General features: G+C 43.1%; 1 protein-coding gene, 1 long non-coding RNA gene and 1 other non-coding gene across 38 annotated transcripts in view, besides 12 other annotated features; 2 read left to right on the top strand and 1 right to left on the bottom strand.

Annotated features, from left to right (window-relative positions):
* ARID1B (AT-rich interaction domain 1B) overlaps positions 1–16,123 on the bottom strand; it is a 434,754-nt gene extending 418,631 nt beyond the window's left edge. For 35 of the 36 annotated variants that reach the window (XM_011535984.3, XM_017011105.3, XM_017011104.2 and 32 more), the window contains exon 1: positions 12,678–14,771. In XM_011535984.3, the coding sequence (XP_011534286.3) occupies positions 12,678–14,468 (1,791 nt within the window). In that variant the 5' untranslated portion in view covers positions 14,469–14,771. Of the gene's footprint in view, positions 1–12,677; positions 15,288–16,022 lie in introns of those variants that run through there. The other variant, NM_001371656.1, reaches the window with a different exon arrangement.
* Positions 12,288–12,457: a silencer, noted in NCBI's record as "silent region_17715". NCBI's record gives its function as "represses an Ori minimal core promoter by ATAC-STARR-seq in GM12878 lymphoblastoid cells {active_cell/tissue: GM12878}" and the evidence as "EXISTENCE:reporter gene assay evidence [ECO:0000049][PMID:35858748]".
* MIR4466 (microRNA 4466) lies at positions 12,418–12,471 on the top strand. The gene has a single exon (NR_039676.1). It is a non-coding gene; the product is annotated as a microRNA 4466 (primary transcript).
* Positions 12,488–13,177: a silencer, noted in NCBI's record as "silent region_17714". NCBI's record gives its function as "represses an Ori minimal core promoter by ATAC-STARR-seq in GM12878 lymphoblastoid cells {active_cell/tissue: GM12878}" and the evidence as "EXISTENCE:reporter gene assay evidence [ECO:0000049][PMID:35858748]".
* Positions 12,488–13,554: a biological region, named in NCBI's record as "NANOG-H3K27ac-H3K4me1 hESC enhancer GRCh37_chr6:157099729-157100264".
* Positions 13,019–13,554: an enhancer, noted in NCBI's record as "NANOG-H3K27ac-H3K4me1 hESC enhancer chr6:157099729-157100264 (GRCh37/hg19 assembly coordinates)". NCBI's record gives its function as "activates a minimal SCP1, AML or CMV promoter by ChIP-STARR-seq in primed H9 embryonic stem cells {active_cell/tissue: H9 hESC(primed)}" and the evidence as "EXISTENCE:reporter gene assay evidence [ECO:0000049][PMID:30033119]".
* Positions 13,248–13,297: a silencer, noted in NCBI's record as "silent region_17713". NCBI's record gives its function as "represses an Ori minimal core promoter by ATAC-STARR-seq in GM12878 lymphoblastoid cells {active_cell/tissue: GM12878}" and the evidence as "EXISTENCE:reporter gene assay evidence [ECO:0000049][PMID:35858748]".
* Positions 13,518–13,747: a silencer, noted in NCBI's record as "silent region_17712". NCBI's record gives its function as "represses an Ori minimal core promoter by ATAC-STARR-seq in GM12878 lymphoblastoid cells {active_cell/tissue: GM12878}" and the evidence as "EXISTENCE:reporter gene assay evidence [ECO:0000049][PMID:35858748]".
* Positions 13,631–15,789, top strand: LOC115308161 (uncharacterized). Its single transcript, NR_163974.1, has 2 exons — positions 13,631–13,903; positions 14,718–15,789. It is a non-coding gene; the product is annotated as an uncharacterized LOC115308161 (long non-coding RNA).
* Positions 13,998–14,067: a silencer, noted in NCBI's record as "silent region_17711". NCBI's record gives its function as "represses an Ori minimal core promoter by ATAC-STARR-seq in GM12878 lymphoblastoid cells {active_cell/tissue: GM12878}" and the evidence as "EXISTENCE:reporter gene assay evidence [ECO:0000049][PMID:35858748]".
* Positions 14,138–14,287: a silencer, noted in NCBI's record as "silent region_17710". NCBI's record gives its function as "represses an Ori minimal core promoter by ATAC-STARR-seq in GM12878 lymphoblastoid cells {active_cell/tissue: GM12878}" and the evidence as "EXISTENCE:reporter gene assay evidence [ECO:0000049][PMID:35858748]".
* Positions 14,438–14,677: a silencer, noted in NCBI's record as "silent region_17709". NCBI's record gives its function as "represses an Ori minimal core promoter by ATAC-STARR-seq in GM12878 lymphoblastoid cells {active_cell/tissue: GM12878}" and the evidence as "EXISTENCE:reporter gene assay evidence [ECO:0000049][PMID:35858748]".
* Positions 14,698–15,047: a silencer, noted in NCBI's record as "silent region_17708". NCBI's record gives its function as "represses an Ori minimal core promoter by ATAC-STARR-seq in GM12878 lymphoblastoid cells {active_cell/tissue: GM12878}" and the evidence as "EXISTENCE:reporter gene assay evidence [ECO:0000049][PMID:35858748]".
* Positions 18,340–18,634: a silencer, noted in NCBI's record as "tiled region #1028; HepG2 Repressive non-DNase unmatched - State 23:Low". NCBI's record gives its function as "represses a minimal TATA promoter and a strong SV40 promoter by Sharpr-MPRA in HepG2 cells {active_cell/tissue: HepG2}" and the evidence as "EXISTENCE:reporter gene assay evidence [ECO:0000049][PMID:27701403]".
* Positions 24,222–24,281: an enhancer, noted in NCBI's record as "active region_25318". NCBI's record gives its function as "activates an Ori minimal core promoter by ATAC-STARR-seq in GM12878 lymphoblastoid cells {active_cell/tissue: GM12878}" and the evidence as "EXISTENCE:reporter gene assay evidence [ECO:0000049][PMID:35858748]".

Raw genomic sequence — 26,563 nt, 5'->3', positions numbered from 1 at the left:
ATAAATAACAGTGCTATAATAAAAATACTCAGCTATTACAAAGCTAATAACTCTCATATGAGTAAAGTTCTAAGTATCAATTCATTTCAAAATTCCAGATACAGGTCATACATTCATCTCTCCTTTTTTTTAAAGATTTCTGCTTTTGAAAGACTCATCTAAATTGTCCACTATGTCAAAAGTATTTAATTCCTAGCATTAGGAAATAAACAAAAATTCAAAGATTTCAAAAATATAGTTTGGAAAGGAAGAGAAAGAGGAGAGTCAAAACGAATTAGCAATGCCCATAATAACAATGTCCTTTTTTAAAAGGACACGGTTCCAGAATTCCTACATTTATCTCTCTATCTCCATCTGTCAGTTGCTCTTCGGATCCTGCACATCAGCACATTGTGAACAGACGGTGGGTATTTTCACCCTGGACCAGGTAGAAAGCTTGCCTGCCTGTACACGCTGACTGCCTCCCTGTGTTATCTGTCCGTGTTCCGTTTGAATCCAATTTCCTTGCATTACCTCTGCCCAGGTCAGGGATGAATGGCCGTCAAATTCCCAGTGGAATAAAAAGAAAAACCCTTTTCTTCCTGAGGCAGCAAGTTTCAATTCACAGAGCACATGGCTAATCTACATATGTGAAGGTCACGGCACTTCAGTCAAAGAGGTTAAGAATGGAACAGCTCACGTAAGGGGTTGTCTTAAACATCTTGGCATGATGCCCAACAAGTGAGACTGTTGAAAAGCAATAGATAGCTCTGGCAGCAGCAAGGGGAAAAATATTTTGATCATGTGATGCCATACACATTACCTCGTTTATTTCATGTGTGAAAGTTTGAGAGTCCCTGAAAAATACCACATATGCAAATCAAATCCAGATTTCAGCTTTACCAGTTTAGCCATGCTAGTACACCTTCCTCTTCATAAAATACATTTATATGGAATTTGTGGATGCACCAAGAATAAAACTTCAACATATTGACAGCCAGCTGGCTCAAATATCTTAACAGCTGATTACAACTTCTTTGCATTAGTTTTTCCATGAAGCATGAAACTACTTAGACTGGGAAAGGGTATTTAGACTAAAAAAGCATATTCTTTTAAGTTATCCAAATATAACTGTCTTAAATAAAATTCATCTTCTCCATCTTTCTCTATTCTTCTCTTTCTCACTAATAATATAGCAATATGGAAAATTACAGAAACTTAATGCATAATAAAAGATAAAACACAAAACTGCTTACCTTTCAATTTCCCTCTTCAGTAATTAATTGTAGAATAAAACACTGGTGCTTCTAAGTGCTTGTGTCTCCGACCAATATCAGAGTGGAGGAGGAAGGACAGAGTCTTGCCATATACAATAGACATGGGTGAAAGAGGAAAAGTCAGGATTGCAGAGGGCATGTCTCTGCCTCCTGTATGCATGGCGCCTTCCTGAAATGCGTTCTGCATCAGCCAATTCAGGTTAAAGGCAGTTGGCACTAAGATGGGGGGAAAGGGATGATTTCCACACCCAGCAAAGTCATAAAAAGTATGACTGTAATTTTTAAAATTTTCCAACAGTCAACAATAATAAATACTTGTTTAATACATGAAGAAAATAAAGTAGAAGCAAAAGATCCATTTTACCAATTTGGAAATTGTCTGCCAGACACCCATTTCCTTCAACTCAAAATTCAGATTGCTTATGAGGCCAGAGTTATTGTCTGTATTTCTAATTAAATGGAATACTAAGTAAAATTTAAACACCCCACAAACTATCTTAATTAATTTAATCACCACTGTTTACTCAGTAATCTAAGGACATCACTCTATGCTCAACAATTAATACAATGTTTAACAATTTACAAATATTTTCTGGATATCTACTTCTGTGGTACAGTGCCCCTACACCAACGTCACTAAATGTTTACTGATGGTAGGAAAATTAAATTCTTCAATTATAAATCTTCTGAATTTATTTCCTCACCAGTTAAAAATATGACTGCTTAAAAAACAGGCAAACTACAGTAAACATTTTAGAATTGCTCAATAACTTACTTTTCCTAACACTGGACAAGGTAAAAACATATCAGGAAATTTGAAAACTGCCATGGTATGGATTAGAACTAAGCTTCAAATATAAACCTATTTGCTCTGAAAGACCGATAGGCTGCTAAGTAACTTGTTAAATTAACTAATAGAGAATTGCCTCTAACTCATTTTAATTCCTTATTCATGAGAAAATACAATCCTTTGTTACTCTATTAAAAGGTCCTTTTCATTGCCAAGCAGCATACACGTTTCTTATAAAGTTTAGTCCTCATGAAAATTCCATGAGTTAAGTATCCTTTCCCATTCTTTGACAAATGAGGAAACCACACAGCACAGAGAAGCGAAGTGACTTGCCTGAGGTCACACAGCTAGTAAATGCATAATCTTCCAGTGCTCTCTAACCTGCCAGCTTTTGGCTCTAGCCCTTGCCCCAAGCCCCATGCCTCTTTACCTTCACTGTTTGTTTCTCATTAACCAAGTCTTAGCTCATCAGACCTCCTTTGCTGTAGGAGCCTTCCTGCCTCAACTCCACCCCAACCTAATCTATATAAAGTGACCCTCTAACATCAAAACTTCTTTCACAAAATCCTTTACACCTTACTGTGTAGCATGTTTACTTGTCCTTAATTCCTGCATTGTCCATTTGTGGAGGTCACCAAAGAATCCCATCACCCAGCATGATGCCTGGCACACAGTGAGCTCTTCACAAACATGTGCCTTCTGCCCACATTATTGCTGTGATGACACGAATCTATAGTTCCAAAGCCCTGACGCACACAGTTCAATACAGTGAAGTAAATGAACTGAGTATTAAATCCTTCATGTTACTGATGTGAAGGCTTTTCTTTAGCAGAAAAATCACCATATGAATGACACCCAATACAAAATCCAAATTAGGATCACTTTCTCATCAACGTCACAGCACCAAAGAACAATCTCCAAGTACACTGACCTTCCACATAGAATAGCAAATACTGACCAAACGGATTTCCTTGCAACTGATATTGGAAATGAATAATACATTCGTTAGGAAAGTTTCAGCTTGGATACATCATTTACTCCATAAATACTTCTTAGATGGTGCACTTTGAGGAATATAGTCTTTTTGCATAAGAACTACAGAAGAAAACTGTAGCCATTCACTTTAATTTCCACTTTGTAAAACACCAGGAGTCTATGATAATACACCTGGGAAAATTAAGGATCATATGTCATCTTTACTCTGTGTATCTTAAGCACCAAGTGGTGCTCAGTAAGTATTTGTTCATAATAGAATTACATTTTGTCCCTGATAGTTTTATAAATCTCAGCATTTAAAAAAAATTGCTCTTTATATATTTGAGGGAGGACCCCGGTACTCTTAGATTTGACATTCCTGTTTTGACTATTTAAGAGCAGCCCTAACCCTCCATGCATAGTAAATTATAATTTTGCTAAGGATCAAGTCTAAATCATATATTCAGTGAAGATGAAGCAAACACAGAAGCAAGTTACTTAGCTAATGAGAGACCAAAGTCTAGCACCCAAAATCTCCAAGAAGCCTACTTTTAAATTTTTGCAACTTCGTTCCTTTGCAAAAAGTAATTCTCCTAAAAAGCCAGTCATTTTTTGCAGATCATCAAAGTGGGAAGGTTTAGGAAGTATAACAGAGGAATGATTGTTGGCCAGAGAAGAGACCACTAATTAATATTAGGGATGGGATATTGAATGGGGTAGCAGCTTGGGGCCAATGGCATCAGCCGTAGGCTCTGTGGGTAAACCAAAACCAATTTATACAACTGCTGAGCAAGAGTCCCAATCAGTACAAAACCACATTCTGTAAGGGAAACTACAGTGGAATGCAAAAATCTATGTATTTGCACAGGTCTCAGTTTATATTCACAGAATATGTCTGGGATCTAGTGTGGTTTAATAAGCTGTTCAGCGGTGCATAGCTGATTAGGCACTATTTGTTTAAAAATTCAAAGCAGCACAGATTTTTGGAGCTGGGAGGGGCTGAGCATCACCTAATTGATGCCAGCAAGGGCTTGTCCTGAGTCAGCCACACCCCGAAGTACAGCAGGACCAGGCAGAGAATGAGAAAACAAGCCCCACATGGGAAGGCAGGTAGGCAGAGAAGAGAGGGGCCACATACAGATGCCACAGATAGACATCCATGACCTCAGTGAAGGTTTTCAACAACCCTGCCCAGCAGCCAACATTCCAGGTAAGGAAACTGACCCCCTGCTGGAGTGCAGAGAAAATGGGTGCTGAGGCCTCCAAATGAGCTAAGGTCTGACCAGCTCCAAGCCCATGATCTTACCATTGTGTCAGGATGCCTCATCATAGAAGCTTATTCGCTCACAAATCCTCAGAATCACCAAAATAAACTAATACACAGCAAACATGCCAGTCCCCTCGGAATTATGTCTGCTTCTTCAGAAAGATACTTGCTCAGCAGTAGCAATGTTCCACATTCCTATTTCCAAGGTCATTTATAATTCATTAGTTAGAGTGAATTTATTATAAAATATACCAGTGGTAACAGAAAATTTAAAGGGCATTAAAATGGGTGTGTAGCTTGATATATGGTCACTGAATCTTAAAAGGTGGTTCTCAAGATTTCACAAATTAGACGCCAGCTTCTAAATGAATTTTAGAATTAACAATCATTTCAATATAAGGCTATGAAATATGGTGAGTGGTTTAACTTCTAAGATGCTCATCACAAAAAGAAACAGTAGATACTAAGAATTCTGGAACTGCCTCCACTAATCATCAATGCCTCGCTTTCTGAAAGGTTTATTTCAGGACCCAGAAGCAGTAGCTGAATTTACTCCTCAGCCAGCATACATTATCTAAACAGTTACCAAAAATACCCCAGCAATCCAAGTATCTTCCTAAATCTGAACAGACTGTTTTAACTTTTTTTCCAAGAATCTATGTAATGTAGAAAACTGAGAAAAAGAAAAAGGACCATTCTATATAAATTTGAAAGTGATTATATTTTCCTTCTTTTAGTTATTATTCTCGGTAGTGAATCTATATTTCGCTCTGGCACAAAGCCAGTAACTGATTGGTAGAAATGGAAAAGAGTCACTAGATCACATCAACTATATCACAACAACCTACAATTGTTGTTGACCAGATTTTGTTTTGCCAAAATATACTGCCCCACCGGAAAAAAAAAAAAAAAAAGCAGGCCAAATAGACTGCTGACCCACATGGTTGCTATCTGCAATTTGTTTAAATGAGCCAGTTCTAAGTCAATGATGTCAGCAATACCACGATCCAGGTATGGAGGGAGCAAGCGTTAGCAGTATCTCTGCATGATCCGCACACCAACAGCAGCAATCCCCAGACCCCAGCTATTGTCTGTCTCTGGCACAGGGCTGATTAAGAAAGTGGGAGCTCAATAAATATTTGCCAATTGACTGTCTGGAGTAGATATTTATCTAACATATACCTCACTGCATACACAAATGCTAAATGTTTACACCTTAAAGAAATAACTATTGCTTCCCAGTACAAGCTCTTAAGTAACAGTTCATTTCCTCTCTGTGGAAGCTGGTGTTAAAGTACATAACTGATCTTACAAAGATGTGACTACCTATCAGCATCAGCAGCAATTCCAGTACAATTCCAATACCTTACACAAACCAAAGACGCCTGTTCATGAGACTAGGCAGGATCTAGAAGTCTCCCTTCACAGCTGCCTTTAAAATGTAATTCTAAAAGGTCAATCATCTTAATTTAGTAATTTTTCCACATACAAAGAATTTCTGAAGTTTTGCAGAGGACTAAAAAGTAAAAACATGAGGGGGAGGCACAAATTTGGTGGCAGAGAACACTATGGAAAAGGACATGGCACCACCTAGACTCTGGGTTTGCTCTGGGTTGGTAGGGGTGAGATGCCCAGAAACTTCAAACACAGAAAGAATAGAAAAAAATATCACTATAAATGATTTTCACTAATAGTGGGAAAATAAAATTAATAATTTTTAAGAGACTACAAATGCAAAAGGTGAGGGAAGAAAAGCAAGGGAAAAGTGAGAATGGTAACAGTTCATTTCCACACCCTATTATCTAACCAAGTCCCAGGTTTCTCTCAACAAATACCCTCAACCTTTAAACTTTAGAAAGGTTCCAAAAAGCTGCTTTTCAAAATTTTAATAACATAACTGGCAGTGAAACTACTAACCTTTGTAATACACATCTCCAAAGAGATCCTCAAACTCTATGAGGATTACCCCAAAGTTAGAATTGAGAGGAAGTAATGTACTAATAAAAAACAAAAACAAACAAACAAAAAAACCATTAGCATCCTGATGGAATGTCTGCGGAAGAATTTACTCACAAACTATGAAGTGATAAGATTAATGGTTACAAAAACAAGATTATTTTACTTACAATACACATTAGCAGCTAACAATTTTAAAAGAAAGAGAAAAATATTTTTATTTCAGTTTGAGAAGGAAAAGTTCTGGGGATAGATGATGATGGTGACAGCCACACAACAATGACAATGTACTTAATGCCACTGGAATGTATGCCTAAAAATGGTTCAAATGGTAAGTTGTATGTTATGTACGTATAGCTTACCTCTATTTAAAAAAAAAACCATATATTTAATTTTTTAGCATCCCATTACAAAAAAAGAAAAAATGTAGCATTATGGTCCAGGATTTCTTCTGGATTTCATCAAATATGGCTTCCCTTCCAGAGTCACCTGATAAGGAATGGCTTCTGGTCTAGTTCTCCAGCTCATCATTCATCAAGGCCCAGGAAGACACTGAGAAGTGCACCTTACAGAAGATGGTCAACAGAGGGTGAATCTCCTCCAGATTCTGCTGCCATCTACCTGATTTTAATAATGGAAATAAGAGTAGCTATTCATAAACCAGATAGGCTTAAGATTTTAGGGCTTTAGTCTGGTGCCTGGTAATAAATCTCATCCAAGAAACAAGTTAATTTCATCATTAGTTCATCTGTCAAACTCAGTAGCCTTCTAATATTCTTGGCATTGATCCATACAGATGTGGGTTTGAAAACTGCCTACTGGATCCTATTTAAGTAAGTAAATCTTGCCTGGCAGGATGGTTCACATCTGTAATCCCAGCACTTTGGGAGGCCGAGGAGGGTGGATCACTTGAGGTCAGGAGTTCGAGACCAGCCTGGGCAACATGGCGAAACCCCATCTCTACGAAAAATACAAAAATTAGCCAGGTGTGATGGCGTGCACCTGTAGTCCCAGCTGCTTGCGGGGCTGAGGCAGGAGAATCACTTGAATCTGGGAGGTCAAGGCCACAGTGAGCCAAGATCGCGCCACTGCACTCCAACCTGGGTGGCAAAGTGAGACCCTGTCTCAAAAAGAAAAACAAATAACTAAATGTAAGGAAAGAATTTTCTTAGAATTACTCCAAGTCAAAGATTTTGAAAATAGAACATATTTAGTGAAAACTTACAGTGGAAACACATATTCTACTCTGAAAAAATTCACTCACTCAAAGTGAATTGCTAATTAAAACTATATAGTATATGTCTATCATTCCATTCATTCAGATGTCAGTATAAGGAAAAACAAATGAATACTTAGGACACTCAGGTAATGACTGATACCTAAGTCATTTTATCTTTACCAAATTTCCTGAAGAAAAAGTTGCTAAAGTACACCAAGTTTTTAGATCAGAATTAATTCACTCAATTACCCAATTAAACCAAAAGGGCCATTGAGTCTCATTCAAATAGCCTCCAAGCTAGAGAAAAGATATTTATAATAGTTCTACATCTATGATACAGAAATATATTCTTGGTAGAGGAACAGTTTTGCCTGGTGCCTCTCCCGGACACGACAGGGAACAGGGTTTGGGATTCCTCAGCCTCAAGCAAGCACACACAGCAAGCGTGCGGCACTACTTTACATATCCACAGAGAACCTGCAAAAACCTCCCTCCCATTCAGGAAAGGGCACCTCCGAAAAGGCATGCAACCAAAACCACCCAATCCCAAAAAGGCCTAAGAGGTGGATACGGCCCCTTGAGTAATAACAGCAGTGTAAAATGTCATAAAAATTTTATAACATCCAACTGGAAAACCTAAATATTGCAAAAAAAAAATGGAATTAAGTTTTATTAATATTTTCAGCCTCCATAAATCTGTCATTTTATGCAACACACCACACTTCTATCAAACATAAATATCAATCTCAAATTTACAAATCTACACATACACTCCAAAACAAAAGTGACACGAGTGAAATATCAGTCCCTTTTCCACCCACATGGATCAAAGCACACAACCCCATGAGCTGAGCAGTGTCAGTCCAGTGTAGAGCTGCAAGAAAAGCCTCCAGATTGAGGACACCGGCAAAAAAGCGAATACAGAGTCCTAGGCCAGCACATCCAAAATTTACATCCCCAGTGAGTCTCCAAACGGAGTAGAAAATTTCATGGAACCCTAACAAATGTTCATCAAATCACTCATCTCCTAGGAAAGGGTAGGGTTAAATAAATGAAATGATCATCTTTTCGGTTTGCCTGTGATATTGGAATTTATCCTAGGAAAGCAAGTGTTCCTATTACATCAGAAGTCATCTTTTTAGATAGATACACCCTGCCCAGAATCATAAAGAAATAAAGTCTATTAATAAAAAATAGAACTGAAAACTCAACCGCATTCTATTACACCTATTCTCTTTAAAAGGTATCTGTGTCTAATAAAACGATCAAATGAGCTTATATTAAGTCTTCCTCTACATTGTCTTACATTTTTAAAATCAGTTCTCAAATCAGAATTAATGTTTTTTTTTTTTAAATATCAGAATAAAGACGTTATTTTCTTCAATTTCAGTAAAGGAAAATGACATTCAGAGGTTAAGTATATTAGTAAAAGTGTCCAAGTGTGATCTGCATTATTTCCACATCCATAACACACTTCTGATACACTATGACATTGAGAAAAATGGAACAAGTATAAAAAGCCTTGCCAAAAATTCATGACTAAATATAGACAAGCAGAGCCAAAGCAAAGAGGGGTTAAGGTTCCTCATTATAGATTCAAGGTAAGGATGTGCTAGTCCCTAGCATATACTTACTGATGTAGTATTAATATAAACATAAACCTAAGTGATAGCTGTCTTAAAGAGTGGCTACCACTAAAAAAAAAAAACTACCAAAATATTGTCAAAAGTATGTACCACAAAAATCAGGACTCCCAATGAAAACGATTTTAAGCCATGCATAATTTCATCCCAGATGATTCAGAAAACAAAACTGCAGACATTTGTTATATTTTCTTTTCCTGTTTTTTAAATGATAGGCCCTTTCCATTAGCCACAGTTACTAAGTCCACCTTTTCTAACTATACACAGCCATCCATACTTTGGCAAATATATAAATTTAGGCCACAAAAATTTGTTTACAAGATTTAAAATATCAGACACCCTAAAATTTAACTGGGAGTGATTTTATCAAATAATGTATCTCACACACATTTTAAGGTAATCAGGAACCAGTTTGTAGCTTCCTGCTTCGCATGCTAGCTAATCACTTTTCTTCTAATGGTAAATAAGGCCCTTTTCTTAATACATTGTACTACGTTTTATAAAACTAAAAGTTAAAACTGCATTTATGGAATTCAGTAGAAATGTGGACATCATAAAACCTATGTGCGTGAGTAGACCTCAATATTCCTTTTGAGACTGCTCCATCTGAATACTCATCTTACAAAAATCTAGTAATAAACTGAATCGTCAAATGGCTTATTTCACTTTTTAAAAAGACCCTTCTCCTATAATATATACACGTTTTGTCCCAATTACGAAAACATTTGCCACCCAATAGAAACTATTTCCTGAAATCAAAAATGAAACTAAAAACATATTAAAAGCCAAAATATTTCATCATTTAACAATGTGATTTAATAGCATTTCATGACCTACAGTCAGGCAGTAATTTAATATTTTGGACAAATGACTGTTTCTTAGTATAATTACAACAACTAATACTAAATAATACTAACTTCCAAAAAGAAAAGAAAAAAAAGGATTGTAAAAAAGACACATTCCACATGTTACACGGTAAGGTACTTAAAAGAAATTCCTGAATCTAGGTCGCATGTCCATATTTCCCCCAACCTCAACAAAAAAAAAAAAAAAAAAAAAAAAAAAAAGCCTATTCCCAAGGGTCATAGGGACATAATGGATTCATTCTCATTACAAGAAAACAAAATACTGAAAATGATTGGTACCATTAAGAAAAAAATACTCTAAAGTAACATGGTCCTACATCTGCCTCTAACTTCATTCGTCTCTAGTTTACGAAGATGTGAATTTTAAACTGCTCCTTTAAAAGCAGGCTGACAAAGCAAACCTTTTTAAAATTAATTACGTGGGTTTATTTCCATGATTCTTCTCTATAATGTTTTTCCTCGTGTGAATCAAAAACAAGTTGAAATCACAAGTTTTCTATTAAGAATAGAAAAATCTATTATCCTTAAAAGCAAAACTCCAATAACTAAAGATCTGAAAGCAGTGGACAGCAGTGTTCAGCCTAGGATTCACAAGATTATTTGTTAAATTCAGCCCTTCCTTCACTCTGACAAGTCTCTAAGGTATGATTATTGTTAAAATACCTCTTCCTAAAATAAATGAGTTACATAAAAATATACATACAACGACTGTTGTTCCTCTCTAACAGATTAGGATTTTTTAAACTTTCATAGCATTAACATGAAAGAAAAATTATTTGGAAAAAAAGACACCCAGCACAACTTGCTTAGAATATAGTTTCCCTAATTCATCGTGTAAGCAGTTCAAACAAGGCTCAAATTACCTAATCTAACAAAACAATGAAGAAAAAAAAAAGATTATGGGGCATTTCTGTATTCTCCACATCAAAAGCAAATATGAAATGATTCTTAGTATTTCACAGGAATATCTCATTTTTCCCCTTTTAATTATTGTTATCTGCACAAATATGTGGTTTCCTCATTTCGTTTTTTAAATATGTCAATTCTAACCAAAACTCCTCATCCACAAATATCTTTGAACAGTCAGAACTGATAAATCACAAAAAAATGAAGCTTAAATCTTGTTTATCAGGTGAATTACACATCACCAAAATATATTGCTGCCTATCAAAATCTTAAAAAAATTTTAAGGTTTTATTAAGCTGCGTGTGCTGACAGAATTCAAATTTTTCCATAGTTGAATTTGTAAAGGGAAGACTTTTATAAAGGCTTTACAAATCCAAAAATTGGTAAAATTCGTGGTTTACTTATTTTTCAATGGCCTTATCCTCAGCCTCCAATTAAAGTCTATGATATATGTAATGTGCATATTCTAAGACTATCATCAAAGATCTGAATTTTGTAAATGCCCAATACTGGACACCAGCGAACTGTTTTTCTGTATTTGATCCTCTTATTAATAACTATGATTCATAATAGTTTCAGCTTTAAATACTGAACCTTACATTTGCTTGTAATAGAGCTCAGTTATTATTTGTGGCAAGAATTTTTGTGACTGTACTGCTCAGCACTTCTATTTACATCAGCAGTGCTAAATGCCCAATGGTGAGAGGGGAGCCAATCAGATGGCAGATTAGATGTCAACTCAGAGGCAGCTGTCTGGAGACTATTACAGCCAGTTTACCTCCACAATTCAAATTCCAAACCTTGCAAAGGAGATCAAGTCAGTCTTTAGGCTCAGCCTACTAGCAAGAAACAGCAAGAGTGCAGGACACTTCCTAACAGCGCTGTAGGACTCGGGTGACAGCAAAATAAAGAAAATCCAAATAAATACGATCCCAAAAGATCAATTTTCACTGGTCTGCTATCTTACTGGATTTGCTGAATAAAATGCATGCCTAATCCATGATCAAAATAAGTTCAATTGATCCGGAACGTGCTCCTTTCACATAGCCTGCCTGTTGAAGGTGACTCCCTGCAAGCAGCCCGTAAGCCCAATAATGGATTTCCCTGGCTATTCTAAGGAACGAATCGATGTATTTTACAATATTGCACCTCCATGTCGTTGTAAATTTTGTTATTATTCCTACCAGCAAACGTTCGAGCTCGAAGCCCGCACCGAGTGTCTCTGAATGGCTCTCCCTAAGTAGGAAAAACCCACTCGCTTGTCACAAAGCTAACCTATTTTCCCTGCCTGGACCTCGGAAGCCAAGAGGGAACGTGCTGTGGCTAAAGGTGTGAGAAAGTTCCTCATTCTTTCCCCCGTTAAAGCACATTGTGGGCGCTCCCAGAACCGATCGGGTGGCTCTTCGCCCCAGCCGTCCTGGCCGGGAGAGCCTATTTGTTACAAAAGCACCCGAACGGTCCCCGCCGCCCCAAACGGCGACCGCGCGGGTGGCGCCTCGGGATCTCGCTTCGCGTTCCCGGGCCTGGGGGAGGGGGGGGACGCGGGTGCGGGCCGGCGGGGTAGAAGCCACCCGGCCCGGCCCGGCCCGGCGAAGCCCTCCCAGGCCTGGACAGCGCGCCGGCCCCCGGGGCGCCCCGACCGCGGCGGGAGGCGGCCGCCCGTCAAGATGGCTTTGGGCGCCGCGCCCCCGCCGCCCCCGCGGGAAGACGGGGAAAAGTACGCGGCAAAGAAAGAAACTCAGGCTCGCGGCGCGGCGAGGCCGCCGGGCGGAAGCAGGCCCGGCTGGCGCGAGGGTTACCTGGGATCTGCCCATGGTCGGTCCGGGGGTGCCGGGGCTCATCGCCGGGTGACTCCTTTGTTGCGCGGCCGCCCAGGCCGGGCTGGCAGCGGCGTACTGGGCGCCCATGTCCTTGCCCAAGCCCATGCCCGCGGCCGCCTGCTGGCCGCCCGCCGCCGCCCCCGCCGCCGCCGCCTGGGACTGGGGCTGCGACGGCGGCGGCGGCGGCGCGCTGGGGCTGCTGTACTCGGGGTAGCTGCCGCCGTAGCTCCGCATCATGGGGCTGGGCGAGGTGAGCAGCTGATTGAGGGTCGGGGTGGCCCCCGACGGGTGCTGGTTCTGGCCGGCGAAGCGCTGGAAGCCCCCCGCCGCCGAGCCGGCGGCCGCCTTGCTGAGGCTCGCGGCCCCGCCGCCCCCGGGGCCCATCATCATGCCGCCGCCCTGCTGCCGGGGGGAGCTCAGCACCCCGTACCCCGCGGACGAGCCCCCATAGCCGCCGCCGCCGCCGCCTCCTGCTGCTGCCGCCGCCGCCGCGGCCGCCGCCGCCACAGCTCCCGCTCCTGCTCCTCCTGCTCCTGCTCCTCCTCCTCCTCCTCCTCCTCCGCTGCCTCCTCCTCCTCCGCCGCCGCCGCCGCCGCCGCCGCCCGCGCCGGGCCGGCTGTAGCCCGGATAATGGTTGCACTGGCTGTTGGGGTACCCTTCGTGGGAGTTCTGCAGGGGGTCCATGCTGCCGGGGGCCCCGGCGGCGGCGGCGGAGGCGGAGTGCATCATCCCCATCCCGGGGCTTTGTTGTCCGCCATGTTGATCAAAGCAAGGCCCAGCGCGGCCGCCGGGGCCGCCGCTCGCAGGGGCAGCGCTGCCATAGTAATTATTAAACTCCGGGACGGCCGCCGGGCCGCCGCCGCCCCCGGGCACGGCGACCGGCGGCTGCTGCGTGCCCAGGGCGCCCAAGCCCGGGTGCTCGTAGCGGCCGCCCGCCGGCTCCCCCATCTTGGGCGGCGCGTCGTCCTCGTCGCCCGGCTTGCTCAGCAGCGGCGGGCCCGGGGGGTCGGCCTGGCCGCCCGCAGCACTGTCCTTGGCGCCTCCATGTTGCGGCTGCTCCATGTCGGGGCCGGGCTGAGGCGCGCCGCCGCCCGCGCCGCCCAAGCTGTTGTTGTTGGAAATGGGATGTTGCTGTTGCTGCTGCTGCTGCTGCTGCTGTTGCTGCTGCTGCTGCTGCTGCTGGAACTGGTTTAGCTGCTGCTGTAGTGCGTGGTGGTGGTGGAGGTGGTGGGCATGGTGGTGGTGGTGGTGGGCATGGTGGTGGTGGTGGTGCTGCTGGTGGGGCGGCGCGGCGGGGGCTTCGCCAACGGTTTTCAGTTTGTGGTTGGGGAGCAGCCCCGTCTCCATGGCCGAGCCCGGGCCCGACGAGGAGGAAGAGGATGCCGCCGCTGCCGCCGCGGAGGAGGAGGAGGAGGAGGACAGCGCGGCGGCGCTTCCACCCTCCTTGAGAGCCGCCTCGGAGCCGCCGCTCTTGGCGCTGTGGGTGCCGGCGGCGGCCGCGGCGCCCGCGTTATGGGCCATGTTGAGTTCGTGACGGGGGAGCAGGGGGTGGTGGTGCACACTGTTCAGGCCGCCGCCGCCGTCGCCGCCGCCCCCCAGCATGGGTCCCGGTGCCGCCGCCGCCGCCGCCGCGCCGCGCGCCCCCGCCTCCAGGTCCCGGGCTCCGGGCGCCGGCCGCGGCCCGGGGGGCGCCCGCCGTTCGCCGCTGCCTGCCCGCGCCCGCGCCCGCGCCGCCGCCGCCGCCGCCGCCGCTGCTGCCCGCGCGGCCATGATCGCCGCGGCGTGGCGAGGCCGGGCGGGGGGCGGGGGGAGACAATAACCCCCACTTTTCAGGCCGCGGCCCCTCCTGTGCGCATCCACGCGGCCCGCCGGGAAGCCGCGACCCCCTCCCCCTCCGCAGGCCCCGCCGGAGCGCCGGGCCGGGCACGCCTTACGCTCTGGGCCTGCTCCTGCTGTGTGCTTTCATGGTGAAAGTTTTTAGTTCAGGTTTAAATGAAACTTTTCTCTTTTCCTCTCTAGCCCGGATATGGGTAAATACACGACTAGCTGAGCCTATCGGGCCCAGCATGGCTTGAGAGGCAGCGGGCGAGCTCGAGCAACTATTATCCACTTCGCTCGCATTACTCCCGCGCACTCGCAAAACGCGGACTGGACTCGTCCCCGGGCCGCCGCCGCCCGCCCCGGCGCAGCCTCGCGGGACCCAGCCGGGCTTGGGCTAAGGCTGGGGCCGGGGCCGGGGCCGGGGCGGCTCGGCGGCCGCTCGGAGCGCGGCGGCGTGGGGCGGCCGGAACCTGCACTTTCCCCCCGGGCCGCTGTCTCCTTGCCAACCGGGCGTTCGCATGTTTGTTTTCACGTCTAAAAGGAACGATACAAAGGTGGAAAACGAGTCTGACGAGCAGACAAAAGAGGGAGAAGGGCTGGGAAACAAAGTTGTCTATTGGCCTCAGAGGTTACAAGGAGCCGACGGAGAAAGAAAATATTTAGGCAATCTGCAAAAGCACGGTCTCTCCCAGGAGTTATGTAATTTTCAGAACGTTCGCCTCTGCCTTGATTTCGGGCCATCGGCGTAATTCCCACAACTTCTTCCAACTGCAAAATTAGGAAAGATTTGAAATGAAGGTTAGCCCCGGTCAGAGAGCCCTATGGCCTGTACCCAGTAGGTACTCAATAAATGCTTATGACTGACTGCACCCGCCCCAAAGAGAATGTTTACATAACTCTTTTTGAAGGCACCTTAAACACGTATGTAGGTTTGTCAGTGTATTTCCAAAGGAATATGTCCACGTATTCCCAAAGGAGCATTTTTCTTACATGCACTTGGATGTCCTCTGTGGAGTATGTACAGTGGTGTTTTCTGCGCCAACTTTCACATGAACATTTAACTCTTGGTGCCAGAACAGCGACAGCTATGGGTTAGCTCGTATCTTCATAAATCTATATGACACCTTTCATCATGTTTCAGAGCTTCGTGTGCACAGTTAACCCTCTCGATATACATTCATTTCAAAGAGATGTGGAACGAAACTAAAATATTATAGACATTATATTTAATAAATATAACTTCAATAATAATATAAAACAGTCAACTCTAGTCCTAATGTAGAAATGTTCCATACTTTGTTCTCTTAAAAATTGGTGTCTATTAACATTTTATAATGTTTTTAATATTTGCATTGTTATTAATGTTTTCAATATGTGCATTGTCCCCTAGTAACATTTTAAAAAGCAAGACTTCTTAACCTTAGGCAATGACCCACTTGTACTAGTGTGGACTCAGTTTTCATTGAGAGAAAGCATTTAAAACCTGGCAGAAACAATACTTACGGTTTTGGTAGAGTATAGTTTTCCAAAATTATTTCATTCTTCAGCTTTCCATAAAAACTATTTTAGTTCATTTCCACTGCAGCAGTGGTTATTTGTTTGACCAAGTGTAAATATGTTACATGACTAAATAGAAAAGGATTGATGGGAAAACTGGTGACTAATTGGGGTCGGGGGGAGGGAATCAGGTGCACACCCAAGGGTCATTATAGAGTGTAGAAACAACAAATTGCAATTCTACGCAAACAACTGGAAAACGGGATATATCATCGTGTGTTAGAGAGAATAACAGAACCATAAGATGAATTCGTGCCAAATCATTCATCAGTTTTTGCCAAGAGAATACTACATCTTTGTTAGTGTGCCTTTTTGACATTTTTTCCTGGATTTTCTCCCTTTATATATTCAAATACATACTAATTATACGCATTACACCACAGAAGTTGAATTTTTAGTTTTTCATATGCAAATATAAATATATGTCTGTTTTGTGTGTATATACATATATTCTAAAATCAATTACATATTTATGCTTTTAGACATAGTCAAACTAAGTATGTACACATCATCCTAAAAGTGCATTTTTTCAAATTGATAAAATATATCAAAGTCAGTTCATACAAGTGTAGCCATATGTTGTGGCTTATTTTCACAACTAATCCTAAAAGGGAAAATGAGTCACCAAGTTCAGCTATGGCCCTTTTCCTTAAAATATTTTTTCATATTGGCAAATCGTGAAACTAAAAAAAAATTAGTAGAGAAGTCAAAATCTCTTTTAATTCCATTTGCTTCAGCAAGTCAACTAGAAGATTGGAACTAAGAGACTATAAAATAGAGGCCCCCAGCACAATGAAATCAGTCTGCTATAAAAGGCGACACATGCCAGTTTTTCCTCCCCAATGGCAGATGCCACACCCTAAAGCAGACAGAAGGCACTGCAGCCTGTAGGAGAAGCACAACACAAAGCCGGCAGGACTTGGTTTTGTCTTTTAAACCACGGAGAATGCTAAAATACCTTTCTAAAGCATCTTTGCTGAAGATAAGAAGTGCACTCGAATTTGCTCAACTTTTCATACACACCTCAGGAAAACAAAATAAAAGCCTGTTTAGTTTCATTTAAACATCCAGGGCTTAACAAACAAAACACCAATTGTCAGGGGTCTGTTACAAAGTGATGAAATAGGTTCCCATTACACAAAAGCACAATTTCAACCACAGGTTCAAATTTCCATTGTGTTCCTTGCCTCAACTATCTCATATGGCAATTCTACCTTATTGTTTCTTTTTGATGAAATAAGGTACTAGAAATCACTGCGCTCATTTTTCCTAATGAATTCCTTAATTTTACACCTCTTGCCTAAATTTCAAACCACAATGACAACTTTAATAAGTTACCCTAACCACAAAGAAGCCATGAGGGGAAGGCCCGGAGGCTGCCCGCAGCCACCCTGGGTTCCAGCCGACCTCCCACCCACAGGGTGCTCCCCACGCCCTCATGTTTAGCCAGAGGATTACCCATTATTTTGTTAAACATTCCTTTTTGGTTACAAAAGACTTTTTTTTTTACTGTATGGAAATATTAATATTCAAATACTGCGCCTTTTGAATAAGTTTTAGGGCACTGAATAAAAGGCTCTTCAACTTGGCCACTTAAAGGGGATTGAGCCAGATGGTAGTTTAAGAATTCCACAGTTCTGTTCTTTTTGCCTCATCGTAGCCCATCATACTCTGTTTGCTTTCAGATTAGTCCCCTTTTACTGTTCTACTTATTTATTCGATGACTGAAACTATCACGATTCACTGCCCATCATATTTCTAACTATTCTTTATGTAATTTGGAAGCAATTTAGAATAAAGCCCTGTCAAGGTTTTACAAATAAGAACTATTAAAGAATAAAGCTTTGGATACTTGCTTTCCTTTTAGATTTATGAGAAATGCGATGAATAGAGCTAATGGGATTTCCCTACTGATCTTGGTCAGGGACTTAAGAAAGCACGAAACAATTGTCCTTTTCACTTCTCCGATTTAGACGTTAGCAGTGAATAACTGCGTCACTGCAAGATATGGGATGTAGCATTTGATTTGAAACAACTGTGCAAATCAATTAGGTAGGATTTGAAAAAAAAAAAGAAGCCTAGGCAAAAAAAATAGTTCAAATTTGGGAACTATGGCAGACGGTAGCACTAATAAACTTACTAAGAAAATTATTGTGGGGATAATAAACCTGGATGGAGATACACTGCATGTAGTCATTCAACAAATTTACCTAGAGTCTACCTTGTGCCATGCCTTGAAAATGAAAGATAATTACCTTGGTCCTGTCCTTCATAGGGGAGATAAACAATTAACAATCACTCATACCTACTAAGGTCTGCCCCTCAATGTCACATGGGATTTGGCCAGTAAAGAAGCAAGCTCAGACCTTCCCCATCCCGCAGCATTTCCTGCAGCGGAGGCTTGCTGGCTGCCATTAGCGGGCAGCTGACCCTAATCCTCCCGCTGACACAACTCCGACTTGACACCTGGAACCCACCACTGTGGAGTCTGGACTTCCAGAACCTTAAGTTTAACATCAGGCTACTACAGTTTCTCTCCAAATTCCTTAGAAACATAGTAACACCAGTGAAATACATTAAGAAACACCTTACTACATTTTAATACATTGTACTTTTTATTTTATCCTGGACTGTCCGCTTTTGAATGACTTTATCACAGCCTCATTTATAAATTTCTTGTAACTTTTAGACAAATGTGTGTTCAATGGCTGCTTTTATTTCCAGTACTGTCCTCAATCATTTTGCCATTAGTGAAAATCACTTACTGAGCACCTACCAGTGTTTTTCAGTATTCTACATCACATCATGTAGTCATCTTTGTGGCCGTTCTTAGTGATAACATGCTGCCTGGCTGGCTAAAGGTCCTGCATAGGTAACTCCACTCTAGTTCCTCAAAATAAATATTTGGGTAGTAAGCATATATAATCAGGTATACAAATAAGTCACTTGGCAGTTGAATCACCTCAGTTTTCTAGAAAAGTTTCAGGAACTTACCTGAAGGCCTTCTAGGTCTCTCACAGATAATGATTAATTGCTTTATAGTACAGGTAAACTTTGAGAATAAGACTATGTTTCAAAAACAGTAAGTCCCAAATAACAATAACTCGTGCATTAATGGAGCGCATTCCTCGTTTTTAGTTCACCTTGCTTATACCTGATGACTTGGTTTCTAATTCATTATGCGAGTCAGTGAGCACCTTTAAGGGTTTATGACAGTCATCTAATTGTCTTGGTCAGGGCCAAAGGACTTGGTTATATGCTTTTCATACCAAAATGACATAATTTCATTGAGGAATCTGCTTATTAACCCATTCCCCTAAAAATGCCCAAGTTAAATATAAAGAATTTTTTTCTCTCTCTAACTTGAAGTTACATTGCAACATGTAACTCTAAGACTTAAATTTCAGTGAGCTCTCCCTGGCATCTTCTTGGGCCCTCAGGTGACACCTGTGTCAAGCTGTACTCTGTGTAGTATAGGTGACCCTCTTTCTCAAGGACCGGACATGCCAAAAGGTTTCCCTGCCAAAGCATAACCCACAAGGAGCATCTGGGAAGGGGACTCCTTGCCTCAACCCCAATTATTCATTTGACAAGGAACTGTCTATCACCTACTCTGCCCTAGCCCTGTGCTAGGTGCTGTGGGCACTGGAGTGAACAACAAAAACTAATAACACTTGACCACATTGAATGTACCGGATCATTCATTGAATGATCACTAATGGAGAGTTACAAAGCAATGGGTTCTGAAGGAAAGGTACAGGGTTCTATGAGGGAAATAGCCAAGGAGCCTGATGCAGACTGGGGGCTGAGGGACAGCTTCCCTGAGGAAATGTGACTTGGGCTGAACACTAAAGAAAGAGGAGAAAACATTAAATAAAGAAGGGAAAGAGTGCCGCAGACGGCAGGAGGCAAGTGGGACTGGAGAGCAGGGTGAGGGCAGGCATGCTGGGAGACAGGGACCACCATGCTTGTCCCAGGCCCAATTAAATCAGGGCTTGTGACCCAAAAGCAGTGGGAAGTAACCAGGGCATTGAAGCAGGGGGCTGACATCAGATCTGGGTTATAGCAAGAAACCACTGCTAGGAAGACAGCATGTTGGCAGTGCGGCCAGAGCTGGAATCGGGCGGCAGGTCCCGGGAGTCGGGGCTCAAACCTCTGGGACCAGGGCGGCCTGGCCACTCTCATTTATTGCGGCTCTGAGGATATTATGATATTTTTTAAAACCATAAAAGAGGAGCATACAAATGTTTATTTTAATGTTTACATTTTTAAATTCCTAATGTACAGACTCAAGAATACAATGCTATACAAATATGCCTTTTGCAGAATAAATCTTAAGATTTATTTATTTTTTAATTCATAGGGCAGTGTGAGCTGATCATAGATCCCAACCTAAAAAGCAAAAAACATGAAGAACATCTTTTAATCTAGTTGTTGTTATCTCTAGGACTAAATGTATAACTGTACCTGGCAACAACACCGCGTCTAAATGTAGGCCTCTTTATAAATGGCTCTCCTAATTATCTGTGATGATTGCGCATAGCCCAAGTGAGAAAAGAGAGATGGTGGAGTTGTATGGGGACCAGAGGGACTATGGGGATAGAGATAAGTGAACTGACCCCACAGAGTCCACTACTTCAGAATGTGCAGATTGCTCACTGCTCAAGGCCAAGGAGGTGGGTGGGGGCTCTGATTCAGCCAGGGCCTTGCATGCTACTCATTGAGTCCTGGCACAGAGCTGAGTCCACTGGAGAATGGGGTGTCTTTTTCTAACTTACACAAAGCTCCATGTATGCTAGCAGTGGCCTCCATGAGAGAGACAGTGAGGAGGTAACACTGAAGAATGAGGTCGTAGATTAGATAAGGAGGTGAGAGGATGGCAGGGCCGAGGCCTTCTCTTTCCTCTTTTTCCTCTCCACCCTTTCCTGCCCAAACCATATTGGCATGAAGCAACTGGAGATTCCAGCTTTTATCCCTGCCGTCCAGACCATTCCACACTACCCATCAGTCCTACCCAGCTTGCTCTCCCAGCCCTGCTCTGATAAGCCAACCCTGCTCACCATAGAAACTTAGCTCTAAAGAAAGCTTCAGGCTGGGCATGGTGGCTCATGCCTATAATCCCAGAACTTTGGGAGGCCAAGGCAGGCGAATAGCTTGAGCCCAGGAGTTCGAGACCAGCCTGGCCAACATGGTGAAATCTCATCTCTATAAAAAAAAAAAAAAATTAGCTAGGTACAGTCACATGTGCCTGTAGTCCTAGCTACTTGGGAGGCTGAGCTGGGAGAATCACCTGAGCCTAGGAAGTCGAGGCTGCAGTGAGCTGTGATCAGACCACTGCACTCCAGCCTGGGCCTCAGAGTGAGAACTTGTCTCAAAAGAAAAAGCAAGCTTCAAGGTTTAAGAGGCGGAGGACAACTCCTCAACTCCACACAGTGGGAACATTCTGTAGCCTGAGCATCTTCTCTGTTATCTAGGAATTTGTGAGATTGAGATGATCCATGGAAAACCTTTCAAAATAAATGGACCAAATTCAAGACACCTAACCATGAGTTACAACCAACCCTTTCTCAGGGCCACCTGCTTGCACAGCATGAGGGGCGTCTTGCTTGTTGTCACTGATACAGAGGATGTCTTGTCCAATGTGACTGGCATGTCCTGGGTTTTTCCCATTTGCCAGAGACCTGAGCTGTCATTCACAGGTGCTGAGAGGGAGCAGGAGAGGCAAGCAGAAGCTGAAATGCCCAGGCCTGGGCAGCGTCCTTGCTTTGCATCATGACTTGGCTGCTTCCTGCCACCTTCACACAGGTGTGAAACCTTAGGGCAAACCACCTCGAATCTCTGGAAAAGGTAAAGGAGAAGCTGGCCCAAGCGGGGATGGGGATGCCCCCGGCCTGCGGTACACCCTCCCTTGTTCTCATTCACTTACCTGTTTAGGGATAGTGCACAAGCGTAAAAAAGAGAAAACCTCAGACACAAAGAGTTGTATTTAATCAATGAACCAAACCACCTCTAGGCTGCATTGAGCTTTGTAACTGTTATTACATACCACTTAGTATGTTTATCCCGTGTCTGGCACTTTGCATACATACGGCAGAGAAGCAAGTTGCCTAACTAACCCAATATCTGTTCTTCCCACCTTTAGTTACAGAAGCCCCAGTGTTTAGCTGGGCACATGACCACCTGTTTAAAAAAATCGACATTTTGCATATTCCCTTGGAAGTCAGTACGTCCACACGCTCAAGCGGAGCTGCTCAGGGCAGCTCAGCTGCTGTCTACCTCCTGACTTCGTGTATGAGAAATAAGAATAAACTTCTGTCTTGTTTAAGCTTCTGGTATTTTTTGCTTTGTTTTGGTCTTTTTTCCCCCTTTTTCTTTCTTTTTTTTTTTTTTTTTGTAGAAAATCACATGTAAACCCAACTGATATAATGCATTATGGTTTCTCACATAATCCTCACAACAACCCTTTGAAGAGTTTGTAAACATCCCAAACCTTGGTTTACTCCTGTATAACACACAGATCGCAGTAGTGCTTACTTCCCCAGGTTTCTGAGGATTCAGTGAAATAAGGTCTTCAAAGCTCTGAGCACAGCACCTGGCACACCAGAAGTGTTTGATAACTGTACTTTATTAAGGTAATTTTCATCTCCCTAGCTGGATGGATCAATTTCTCAAGGACAAAGTCCCTGTCTTCAATTTCTGTTATATTGTCTACCACACTCAGAACATTCCTGAACCCACAGTGGGGGCTCAATTGTCAACATAATTTTATGGCTGAATCCAAACATGCAAATAAAATTATTACATGCATTTTCAAATTAATTGTTTCTTTCAGAGCAGAGAACTGATGTAGCTAAAGCAGCAATGACTATGCTGGTCATTTAAAATAAAGACAGGCTGGACACAGTGGCTCATGCCTGTAATCCCAGCACTTTGGGAAGCTGAGGCGAGTGGGTTGCTTGAGCCCAGGAGTTTGAGACCATCCTGGACAACATGGCGAAACCCCATCTCTACCAAAAAATACAAAAATCAGCTAAGCATGATGGTATGTGCCTGTGGTCCCAGCTACTCAGGAGGTTGAGGTGGGAGGATCACTTGAGCCTGGGAGGTTGGAGGATGCGATAAGCAGTGATCACACCACTGCACACAAGCCTTGGCAACAGAGTGAGACCCTGTCTCAATAAAATAAATAAATACAGGATTCCTAACTTAAAAAATTACTTAAAAGGCAGAGAAGGCCAGGCATGTTGGCTTACACCTGTAATTCTAGCACTTTGAGAGGCCCAGGCAGGAGGATTGAGCTCAGCAGTTCAAGACCAGCCTGGCAAACATAGTAAGACCCGATCTCTAAAAAAAAAAAAAGGTGGGCATGGTGGCACGCACCTGTAGTCCCAGCTACTTAGGTGGCTGAGGTGGAAGGATCGCTTAAGCCCGGGAGGTCTGAGGCTGCAGTGAAACATGTTTGTACCACTGCATTCCACCCTGGGTGACAGAGCAAGACCCTGTCCCCCTGCACGCCGCCCCCCGCCCCCCACCAAAAAATACAAAAATAAGGCAGAGAGCATTTTTCTTAAAAGGTGGTTTCTACCTATCAAGGTAACATGTTTCCAGCTGTGTTCAGAGGGCTACTGCTCTAAGAAAGGAAGTCTGTCTGACTTACCATCTTCCTCCAGGTAGACTTCCTCATTCTTGTTAGCTAAGGGACTATTGTGTAGGCATGAGATTCGCAACTGTAGAGAGCATTGCAGAGTTGCTATGTACATGTTTTAACGCTTGGGCACATAACAGTAAGGCTTGGTCTGTACTAGTCTAGCATGGCAGTTGTTTACAAACAACATGATTATTAGTGCTGATTCTACAAGATTGGTTTCCCATTGACCCCAATAGAAACAATGCAAAATATTTACCCTTTTCTAAAGCATAGTAAAACTCCTGTGGTTTTTGAAACCAGACCAAGAACACATGTAGAAAACCCCATGGATTATTTTAAGTGAACTTATTTTTTTAAATCTCATTAACTTTTCACCATATGCTGTTTATTTTTATATCCTGCATAGGCTGAAAAGTGAAAATAGACCAGGCCACTGTGTTTCATTTCAAGCAAATCATTATGAGGATGACACACACAGACTCTGGGGAGTTCAGAGAAAAACAAAGATGATTAAGAGGCCTTTTAAAGATGACTTACAAGAAAAGGTACTTAAAGCTCTACATGTTCCTTAACATAGCAACCCAGGAGGCAAACAGGAAAACTACTCCTCCTCGCCACAAGGATGGAGTATTCCTGCCGGGGGCTTCATGATCTGTGGAAAGAGGGTAGATTCGCATCCCAGCTCCATGTTTACAGGCCGTGCAAGTTTGGGCAATGTGCTGACCTTCGTGTGTACCAGGATGTACGTGAGACACTAAATATCTACTTCGTACAATTTCTGGGGGTAAGAATTAAATGAGAAAGTATATGTAAGTACTTAACATATTGCCTGGAATTAAACAGATAAGGTTTGAGGAGTGTGTGTGTGTGTGTGTGTGTGTGTGTGTGTGTGTGTGTGTTAATGTCTAAGTAGAATAGATGTGTGTTGTATGCTTTCAGGAAAACCAGGTATACTCCACTCAACCCCAAGCATTTCTCCTGCTATGTAATTAAACTTTCTCCATTAAAGATTTATGGATTTATTCTTTTCCGCAAAGGCTTTGAGCCTTGTCAAAATACAAATTTGCTTCTAACAAGTAATACCTTAAACTTGTATCAGTTATTTACACCTTCTTATGAACATATTTTGGATCTGTTTCTGAAAGCCTGCTTTGATGAAGGAGAGGAGATGAGAAAGAGGATGTGGATGCCAGAAAGAAGGTGGGCTGAAGCAGGAGGAGGGACCTCAGTGAATGGGAGGCTGAATGGTGGGGACAAAGTCTATTTCCTGCACAATATCCCCTCAGACCCAGCCCTAGATATTAATGAGCTGAAGGTATGAAAAGGAGAACATACCTAAATATTGGAAAAGTTTTTCTTTCCTTCTGAACAGTTCAGTCTCATGGATCCTCAACCCATTCCCTCAAAGCTGGAATCCCAGGGTTTGCCACCGCTGACCATGGCATGATAGACTCTTGATAGATGGAGATGGGTACTGAGAAGGAGGGTCATGCAGTAGGGGGGGCTCTTTTCCAGGCAAGCCCAAGTTAATGCCATGATTCTGTGGCTACATAGGACAGGGGATGATGTAGAACATTTTTACTTTAGAGGTGATGACGAAGCACCATAGATCCTCTACCGCTACAAAAGGAGGCTGGTACCAAGGCAGGAGGGAAGAGGGAAGTAAAGGAAGCTGCTGGCCCTAGGCCTCTGGAACCTGCACCCTACCATGTGGGCCCACGTGGGTCCCTTTGGCTGCAATGACAAGGATTGGTTCATGCACAGATATGAGAGTCCATGTCACCCACAGTGATGTGGAGAAGAGGACAAGGAAGGAAGAAACTGGAAGGGAACAGAAGTGGGGAAGAAGAGGGAGGGATGAGAGAGGTAGAATGACAGAGAGAGAGCGAGAGACACAGCCAGACATGGTTACTAAAGACATCACTGGGTCTAGGAAAAAAACAATGTTACAAACTATAATTTATCATTTGATACATGTATCATTAGCCAGGCTAGATCCTCTTACTAATGTGAGATAATTCATGGAAGTCATAGCAATTTTAGGCTTGAGGTTAAAACTGTAGAAGATGGATGGTTGCGATGGCTCATACTTGTAATCCCAACACTTTGGGAGGCCTAGGTGGGAGGGTGACTTCAGGCCAGGAGTTCAAGGCCAGCCTGGGCAACAAAATGAGACCCAGTCTCTACAAAAAAAATAAAAAATAAAATTAGCCAGGTGTGGTGGTGCACTCCTGCAGTCCCAGCTACTTGAGAGGCTGAGCTGGGAGGATTGCTTGAGCCTGGGAGGTTGAGGTTGCAGTGAGCCATGATCATGCCACTATGCACCATCCTGGGCAACAGAGCAAGAGACCCTGTCTCAGAAACAAACAAACATAAAACTGTAGAAGATGAGTAAGACCCTCTTAGCCTTTCCAATTAGTATTCTTCCTTGCTGATTTTCCAGAGAGAAATTCCTTAAACAATTGGCCCCACTGACTCCATTTTATTCCATAACCCCTGCCACATTCTAATTTCTAGCCTCATCTGGTTCCTGGAAAATTTCCATCTCTGATTTCTCATTACCTTCTTTCTTCTAGAAAAACCCTCTTGTCTTTTCTTGGCTTTCCCCTGCTTCCATCTTTTAGAAATATGTATTGATATCTGGAGCGTGGTGTTTTGTAACTAATTCTACTCCTGCGGATTAGAGCTGAGATAGGAGGTCTGTTTACATGATATAAGCCCTTCTAAGTGCCAGATATGTGCGGGAGGACTCAGGGGTGTGGGTGGGATGGAAGTCTCAAGGGCAGATGGCGGTCCTCCACCTGAAAGAGGCACCTACTGACAGACTTCAGTTTCCTGT

This window comes from Homo sapiens, chromosome 6, assembly GCF_000001405.40.
Source record: "Homo sapiens chromosome 6, GRCh38.p14 Primary Assembly".
Lineage (NCBI taxonomy): Eukaryota > Metazoa > Chordata > Mammalia > Primates > Hominidae > Homo > Homo sapiens.
Note: the sequence above shows the minus strand (reverse complement) of the source record. Positions and strands in the feature narration are given on the sequence as shown.